This window comes from Homo sapiens, chromosome 10 (genome assembly GCF_000001405.40).
Source record: "Homo sapiens chromosome 10, GRCh38.p14 Primary Assembly".
In the NCBI taxonomy this organism is placed as follows: Eukaryota; Metazoa; Chordata; class Mammalia; order Primates; family Hominidae; genus Homo; species Homo sapiens.
The window spans coordinates 80,728,393-80,738,104 of NC_000010.11; the positions used below are offsets into that span (position 1 = coordinate 80,728,393).

The 9,712-nt window shown below is 42.5% G+C and overlaps 1 annotated feature.

Moving 5' to 3' along the window:
* Positions 3,105–3,606: an enhancer, noted in NCBI's record as "NANOG hESC enhancer chr10:82491253-82491754 (GRCh37/hg19 assembly coordinates)". NCBI's record gives its function as "activates a minimal SCP1, AML or CMV promoter by ChIP-STARR-seq in primed H9 embryonic stem cells {active_cell/tissue: H9 hESC(primed)}" and the evidence as "EXISTENCE:reporter gene assay evidence [ECO:0000049][PMID:30033119]".

A 9,712-nucleotide genomic window follows, 5' to 3' on the forward strand; every position in this document is an offset into this window, starting at 1 on the left:
TGCACCCACTGACCTGCGCCCACTGTCTGGCACTCCCTAGTGAGATGAACCCGGTACCTCAGACAGAAATGCAGAAATCACCCGTCTTCTGCGTCGCTCACGCTGGGAGCTGTAGACCGGAGCTGTTCCTATTCGGCCATCTTGGCTCCTCCAGGCTGAATTCTTCATCGGAGAACTTCAGTCATGGACTCAGGCAAGGGCACAGGGATTCTTGAGTAATATCTTATTCAACGTGGAAAACCATGACAGAACTAATCCAATGCAGGGTCTCCAACTTGGCTTTGGCATTTCCTTTTCCAAGGACCATGCAGATCCTGCTTGTGCATATACATTTTTTCCACCTACATTAATACCATTGAGAAAAGTGCAGACACCGAGGAAGGTCTTGATCCGATCTGAATTCTATTCTTCCTGCTATGCCTTGAGAAGGTTCAGATATTTGAGGGTGACTTGCAGAATGCTCATGTCTCCATGCAGCGCTAGCTTCAATAGCATAATTAATTGCCACATTCAGAGTGTGGGTGAGCCATGAAGGCTTTCTGTACATCGACTGTGGCGGAGACAGGCATGCCAACAATATGCCATGGCTCAGAGTGAGTGTGAGAAGTGCTTACACTGGGCAAGCAAACACATTGCCAGGAGAACTTTCAGGAGAGCCACATTCATTTCAAGTGGTCAGAGCCAGGAGGTCTTTATGGAGGAGGTAGCTGGACAAGATTGAAGAGACTGGCTTTTCCAGGGTTCTGGAAAAACATAAAGCGGGGCAGGGGAAAAGCGCATGGCATTTAGGGAATACTGCTAGATTAGTATGAACTCTAAAGGGTCATAGATATGCAGATTGGGATGACTAGTGTGATTATTCACTATGTCTTGTTTTGAATTCTCCAACTAAGGTGAACATTCCTTGAATGTCAAGGCATGTCTTATTCTGAAGTTTCTTGGCACTGACTTTTTATAAGATTAGGTAGTGAGGTGATGGACACTCAAGGGGAGAAGGATGGCAAGGTAGGTAGACTCATTGTCCCTAAGAGAATTCCACCAAATTCCTGACACACTGAATTCAATGAGATACAACACCCACAGATATGTTACCTTACAGGGTAAAAGGGACTTTCCAAATGGAATTAAGATGACTAAGCAGAGATTTTAAAATGGGAGGATTATCATGGATCATCTAGGTAGACCTTGTGTAATCATGCAAGCCCTTAAAACAGAGGAAGAAGAGGAAGCCAGAGATTCAACATTCAGGAAGCATTCAACATGACATGTTGGCTTGATTGAAGGGATCAGGTGTCAAGGAAATGGCAACCTTAGTTCTACAACCACAAGGAACTGAATTCTGCCAATAACTTGAATAAGGCTGGGAGTGGATTCTCCCTCAGAGCCTCCAGATAAGGTCCTAAGTTGGCCAACACCTTGATTTTGGCCTTGTGAGACCCTGAGCAAAGAATCCAGCCACAGCATGCTGGACTTTAAGCTACAGAAACCTTGAGGTGATAAAAGTATGTGTTTTTTAAAAGACACAGTGTATGCATTGTTTGGGTGGCATTGGGAAACTAACAGAGATGACACACTTTCTTCTCCTCATCAGCTTCAGCTCGAGGTTCTCTTTAGTCTTCCGTGGGGAGGCCAGTACCACAGGCGTGTCATTATTGTCTTGGTCTGGAAGAGGTGGCCAATGGGCGGCAATTCATTTGGGATTTGGGGAGTTGGGCTTGACGCTGGGCTCCAGGCTGCTGGACTAGTCTGTGGAAGACACTTGAGAAATGGCTTCCACAGAAGGACACCTGGGCTGCCTTCTTTCCACCCTTGCCTCCTCAGGGGGCCTGAGCAGATATTGGCTTGTCCTGGGCTCCCTTTTCATCTCTCCTCCACCTCCTGGTCGACTCTGCCAAATTTCCTTCCCACAAAATGTCTTGATGATGAAGTGGGTTCTGTCACTCAAACTATCCTTAAAGCTCCCTTCCCTGATGACTGTCTTAACTCGGTGCTGGTCAGATTTTGGGAATTAGCACTAAACACTAATGTATACATGCAGTTATCCAGGCCTGGTAGAGGGTATTTGCAATCTCCAAGAGAAAGTTTAACTCCAATTTTTAAAATTCGTTACACAGGTATTGAATTTTATTTCTTCCTCTCTTTTGTTAACATTGAGAAGGTTTTCGTTTTTCTTCACCTTTTACAAAATAATCTCTTCTTCATTTGGTCAATTTACCCTTTAAGGCTCAAAGCCACCTCCTCTGTGGAGCATTTCTTGATTCCTTGCAGCATGGTCCTCATCCTCTCCTGTATTTGCACACACCACAGCTGTCATCCTTATCAGACTCTACAGAGGGCTCTCACGAGGTGTTGCCTCCACTTCTGGACCATAGCTCCTTACATGTTGTGTTGCCACAGCACCCAGGATAATGTTCTGGGTGTCCAGGGGTTGCTCAGTAAAATGATGGGAAAGAAGCAATGAATGCAGAAGCAGCCTGCTGAAAAACCAACAGATGGGACCTGCCAGATTGCAAAAAGCAGCTGTATGTAAGGCATAAAAACCAAGGCAGTTAATTAAAAACATTTTTATTTGACCTGATTAAAAAGAAGTTAAAGCTATGAGAAGTTTCTGCTGAGGAATTAGGGATATGAGTCAGGTGAGCAGTAATGTGAACTCTAGGGGGAAAGAGAGGTAGAAGAGTCAGGAGTCCTTGGCTGGAGCCCTAGCAGGCCACCAGCCCACGGGGACCTTGGCCCTTGGGCTGTTGTCCACACAAGGCAATGAAGATTTGCATTCTTTTTTTTTTTGAGATGGAGTCTCACTCTGTTGCCTGGGCTGGAGTGCAGTGGCACATCTTGGCTTACTGCAACCTTTGCCTCCTGGGTTCAAGCGATTCTCCTTCCTCAGCCTCCCGAGGAGTTGGGATTACAGGTGCCCACCACTACGCCCAGCTAATTTTTTGTATTTTTAGTAGAGATGGGTTTTCACTGTGTTGGCCAGGCTGGACTCAAACTCCTGACCTTGTGATTTGCCCACCTCGGCCTCCCGAAGTGCTGGGATTACAGGGATGAGCGACTGCGCCTGGCCTAGGATTTGCATTTTTTGAGTACTTAGGGCTCTTCCCACAGGCATCTAATGTGCCTCCTAATATCAGGGACATCTTCTGAATATCAGGAATCAATATATTCCCTGGAGGGTGAAAATATATATTCCTAATGGACAGCTTTCCTCCTAGACAAAAGGTTGCTTCTTGGTGGGCGGAGTAGTAGAAAGAGTCTTGGAATTCAGCTTCTACCATGTGACCTTGGCCAATTTTCTAAGTCACAGTTTCCTTGACAATTGGGGAAATTAACCTTTGCTTCATTGGTTTGTTGTGAAGATTAAATTATTTAACATATAGAGGACATCCACTTTAAGATGGCCTCAGGCAATCAGCACTTGAAAGAGTTTTCTCCCAATTACTGTGTGAATACTAAAGAAATTATACAAAAACAGTAGTCAGGAAATTTCCCCCCAAATAATGTAATTGACTATGTTTCTGTTTCTGAAAACAAGAACATTTGGGAGAACTTTTCTAACTATAGTTCTGATGAAAGATTGATCCCTTGTCTCATGACCTCTCTTTTTCTCTTTTTTCTTTTCTTTTTTTTTTTTTTTTTTTTTTTGAGACGGAGTTTTGCTCTTGTGGCCCAGGCTGGAATGCAATAGCATGATCTCGGCTCACTGCAACCTCCATCTCCCAGGTTCAAGCAATTCTCCTGTCTCAGCCTCCTGAGTAGCTGGGATTACAGGCGCCTGCCACCATGCCTGGCTAATTTTTGTATATTTAGTGTAGACAGGGTTTCACCATGTTGGCCAGGCTAGTCTCAAACTCCTGACTTCAGGTGATCCGCCCACCTTGGCCTCCCAAAGTGCTGGGATTACAGGCGTGAGCCACTGCGCCTGGCCGTGACCTCTCTTTTTCTTATCAATGCAGGTGACTTATAACATTGTTTGGTAATCTAGTATCAATCTACACCAAAACTACCCCAGAATTTTTAGCTGCTTTGTTGGCATGGTTCTGTCCACTGTCCTCTCTGAAAGGAGTGGTGCCAGTTGCTCGGGAATAGGTAGGAAGAACAACTAACCCTCTCCCCACTGTCTTCCCGTGGGTCAGAGACAGAGTCTGTCCCAACCAGGAAACAGGCACTTCCACAGGATCTCTTCTGTTTCATTTAGAGTCCACAACTCTTATATACAACCACACGGAGGGACTGGCTGTTGTGGACTGGATCTTAGGGACTGTTATTAAAAATGATGGAGAAAAGCTGAACCCTGGGAACAGGGAATGCTGGGGGTGGATAGTGGTTTAAAGGTTTTTATAAATTGCATTTGGTCAAGGGAGAATCTTTAACTTATTCTCATCTTCACTAGAAATTACATCCTTTGCCTTAATGTTGTTACAGTGGGTAGCTAGTCAGACACTAACAGGGCAGGAGAGGGACCCCCACGCCCCACCAGGAAAGTCAAGCAACCATCAGGTTATGGTCAGGTAGTTGTCACACTGCCTCTCTAAAATAATAGGTTGCAGCCAGTGCCAGGGAAAGTCAGTCTCCCAATAGATAGGAAACACCTGAAACATGATCAGCACTTCCTTATAAGATCTCAGGAGTTGGGCCAATGGGCTCAGTCATGTACATTAAGAGGCAAGGTGGGCTGGGCATAGTGGCTCACGCCTGTAATCCCAGCACTTTGGGAGGCCAAGGCAGGTGGATCACAAGGTCAGGAGTTCAAGACCAGCCTGGCCAAGATGGTGAAACCCCGTCTCTACTAAAAATACAAAAATTAGCCAGGTGTGGTGGTGGACACCTGTAATCTCAGCTACTTCTAAGGCTGAGGCAGAGAATTGCTTGAACCTGTGAGGCAGAGGTTGCAGTGAGCTGAGATCATGCAACTGCACTCCAGCCTGGGTGACAGAGTGAGACGCTATCTCAAAAAAAAAAAAAAAAAAGCAAAATGGTGGAATATGACCTTCCAGGGACATTCCACTGGAAAAGGGAATAATGCCTCCGGTGAGCATACATACAACTCCTGTAAACACACTGCACATGCTCAGCTCCCAGGCACTAGTAGGCCACCACGCATGCGGGCAGCTCAACCCAAGGGAAGAATCAAGGGAAAAGGGATGCAAGAAGCTGGGAGTATGCCAGCATATAAAACCCAAAGTCCAAGGTCAAACAGTGCACTAGTCCTCCAAGACGTCCACTTGACTCTCTTCCGAGTATACTTTTCATTTCTGCTCTAAATCTTTTTAATAAACTTCACTCTTGCTCTAAAACTTGCTTCAGTCTCTTCTTCTGCCCCTCAGTTGAATTCTTTCTTCTGAGGAGGCAAAAATTGAGGTTTCTGCAGACCCGTACAGATTCGCTGCCGATAACTTGGATACCCGCCACCCTTAATGATGTCAGGCCATTTTGGTTCATCAGAGCAGTAGGAAGTAAACTTGCATCTTGGAGTTCTCATTTCTAAAATAGAGATTGCAACGTCTATGTCATAGGCCTGTTAGGGAGATTAAAATAGTTCTCAATTCAGAGTATTTGGTTCTTAGTACCTAGTAAGGCCTCAATGAATATATTATTATCAATTATAATGATTAATCCCATAACTGCATTGGTAAGGTAAGCCATCCACCCTATTAACAAATACCAGGCTTAGCTAGAAAGAGCCATGTTTAAGGATGAAATAGCAGAAAAACAAAATAATCAAGAAACAGAATGAGGCCTTCCAAAGAATCCTGAAGCAAAAAGTTATTTCTAATTGAACACATAAGAACATTTACCTAGCATGTGTGTTTCAGAAAGCATGGCTTTCATGAGTCAGGAGTAGGCAAAGAGGCTGGACATGGTGGCTCATGTCTATAATCCTAGCACTTTGGGAAGCCAAGGCGGGTGAATCACTTGAGGTCAGGAGTTCGAAACCAGCCTGGCCAACATGGTGAAGCCCCATCTCTACTAAAAAATCCAAAAAAAAAAAAAAAAAAAAAAATTAGCCAGGCGTGGTGGCGGGCGTCTGTAATCCCAGCTACTTAGGAGACAGAGGCAGGAGAATTGCATGAATCTGGGAGGTGGAGGTTGCAGTGAGCCGAGATCACACCACTGCACCCCAGCCTGGGTGACAGAGCAAGACTCCGTCTCAAAAAAAAGTAGGCAAAGAAAAGGAGATAAAGGAATTAGATGTAAAGTCAACAGATGAGATGGTAAGAAAGTGAATTACACTCAAAAAAGACTTTCAGAAAAATGAAAGAAATCAAGCTGTGCATCCAGTTGTTGGCATAACCATGCAGAAAGGAAATATTCCAAGTGACACTAAAACACAGTGTTTTGACATCTCCTGTGGGTTATTCCCAAAGGACAAGAAGAACTGCCAAATATCTTCAATTTTACTCAGAATGCCTGTTGGTGGTAGTAGTGTTGACATTGATATTCTGAGACTGTTGTGTGTGTATCATGGAAATGAATCAAATGAGTGATTATGTTGTTGACATTGAGAACTGAGGGTTTTGGCATGGTTGAAAGGAGGAAAACATGTGAGATGGATGAGGTTAAATGAAAACTGTAACTTTGAATTTGAATTGTCACTGTGAACTGTATTTTACCTTAAAAATTTTCCTGTCAGTCAACTAAGAGACTGAGAGGTGGTGGCCAGCTTAGTGGCTTTGAGCATCCCCAGCATGCAATCTGTGATCTCTAATGCCATTTGCCACTAAGAAGAACCAAGTCTTCTTGGAGAATTGGCTGATTCTAAGTATGAGGAAGGAAATGTTCAAGAAGAGCTTAAAATGACTTGTCATACTAGATAGCAAAGAAGCTATTAAATACCACTAGAGATAGGTTAAGGGACTTAGAGACCACCTAAGAACCTTCCATAGGCCAAAGATGGGACATATTTGTCTTCCAGAATGATGATAATTGTGATGAATTAAAACACTTTGAATAGGTTTCAATGCAAGTGTTCATAATGATAACACATAATAAAAAACCTCATCAATTATTTTTGGAGGATGCTAGAGAATCATATTTTAAAATCTAGGAAATCAATTGAACATATTAAATATTTAGCCTGTTTTTTTAGATGGAGTCTCGCTCTGTCACCCAGGCTGGAGTGCAGTGGTGTGAACTCAGCTCACTGCAACCTCTGTCTCCCAGGTTCAAGCGATTCTCCTGCTTCAGCCTCCCGAGTAGCTGGGATTACAGGTGTGCATCACTGCACCTGGGTAATTTTTGTATTTTTAGTAGAGACAAGGGTTTTGCCATGTTGGCCAGGCTGGTCTCAAACTCCTGACTTGAAATGATCTGCCTGCCTCGGCCTCCGAAAGTGTTGCGATTATAGGCGTGAGCCACTGTGCCTGGTCTATTCTGCCTTTCTTATACAATTTCTTTCTTTGAGTAATGGGTTGAGAGAAATTCTCTATGTAGAAGAATTTCAGCTGATAAGCCAAGAATGACAGAATTAGACTATTTCCAGGCTCTAAAGATATAATCCAGGTAGAGTCAGACAATGCTTATAAATGGTGATAATATCACAAAAAAGAGACATAACCAGACATTTATGTATGTTCTGATCAAAACAAACACCGATTTTCAGGAAATGCAGGGGACAAAGGAAGATGTTAATGATACGATAGGGATGCAAACAGCAAAATCTAGAGTATATTAAACTCTACATGACAGATGGCTGGTTTTTAAAGGAAAGGAAGAAAACCAAACAACAACAACAAAAACAAAACACACAGAAAATCCAAGGAAAAAAGAGAAATGGAGGAAATCTACAAATTAAGAGAGATTTAAGAGACATCCACAAAGTTGATTTTTGTTTCAAACAAACTGTTTTAAAAAACCTAGTAAGACATTTAGAAAAATCTGAACACTGATTGTATGTGTTTATGCTAAAGAAGTTTTGTGAATTGTTTTGGGTATGATTGTGAAATTCCAGATTTGTCTTCAAAAGAGTAATCATCTTTTACAGATACATACTGAAACAATACTTACAGATGAAATGATAGGTCTACTTTTGTAAACATTTAAAACAGTTCATAGTAAAAAGATAACGGGGAAAAAAAAGACTTCCAGGAAAATGAGGACTAAGCTCTGATTTTTTAATCTTGCCCAAATTCCTATCTAAGGGGTCTGGGGAATCATGCCCTACAAACCATAACTTCTCATCAGATGGGTTTTATTTAACCTTATATATTGTGACTTACTTTGAATCTGACTCTGACATAACCTTACGAGACAAGGAAGAAAATCAAAATATTTTACCCCAAAACATGTTTCTTTACCATATCTTAAAATGGCTCTGCAAAGCTTTCCTTTGTGGGGGAAAATTTACAGCTGTAAAGAATCTCTATTAACATAGCTAGCTCTTTTTCTTCCAGGCCCTCTCAATCCTAAAGAGATTAACTAAGAGTCTAGCACCTTTTAAAGATCTGAATAGGAAACATTTGTCATCTATTTTCTCTAGGGCAGCCACCATAAGACTTCAAAAGAACTTTGGTCTCCACAATATTTTATCTTAACCTGAATGTTTCCTATCATCCCAGGTCTTTAGACAAACTCAACCAGTTGGCAACCAGAAAATGTTTAAATTTACCTATAGTCTGGAAGCCCTGTCCCCTGCTTCCTGCTTTGAGTTGTTCTGCCTTTCTGGACCACACCGTTGTTTTTCTTAAATGTATTTGATTGATGTCTCATGCCTCCCTAAAATGTGTAAAACGAAGCTGTACCCTGACCACCTTGGGCACATGTTCTCAGGACCACTTGAGGGCTGTGTCATGGGCCATGGTCACTCATATTTGGCTCAGAATAAATCTCTTCAAATATTTTACAGAGTTTTACTGTTTCCATCAACAAAAATAAAAACACAAAGCCAAATTAAAGTTCGGTTGTAGACCATAAAGAACAGAAATGACACTGAAAAACAGTGATCAGTGATGCAGAGAACAGTTTTGGCAAGTTCCCCAGCAATACAGAGGCAAATGGGTTTGCATGGTTTCTTGACCTTGGTAGGAGCTTAAGATAAGGTTTTCTTTCCTCTTCAGGTCAACATTTCCACTTTACCCTACTCACAACCACAGCTAGAGCAAGGAGGAACTGTATGGGAAATACCGCATGACAATGATTTTGTAGGGAGAGGCAGCTGGCTCACACTCACCATTATATTAGTAGAGCCAGACTAGAATCAAGCTCTCAACTGTCCTTCTGGAAAAATAAAGTTCTAGAAAAATAGATCACTTTTCTGAGGACCTGCAAGCAAGATGATCACCAAAGCTTGTCCTGGAAGACTGTGACATCAGGAGCATCATGAAGTCTACATTTGTTCATTCTTCCCCATTCCTCCTCCCATCTACCCATTGATACTTGGAATTTTTGGGATTTGAGAATATAATGTTATTTCCTGATGCACAAGATTTCAGTGTCTCCCTTTGCCGAAAAATACTGTGGCAAGTCACGTAAGACAGTCAAACCCTCTCTAATTTTATAAATCCCATGTTCCCCAGGTTCCTCAACATTGGGTGCTTTTGTCCATTGCTAGAGGCCCAGTCCTACCCATTCCTCGAGACTCAACTCAAATGTCGCCTCTCCCATGAAGGCTTCCTTGATCTCCTTCCATATTTTATGGGTTCTCTCTCACCTTCTGTGTCTATTTTCTCACTCTGTTTTGAAATTTTACAAAGCCTGATCTGTGTTTCTCAAA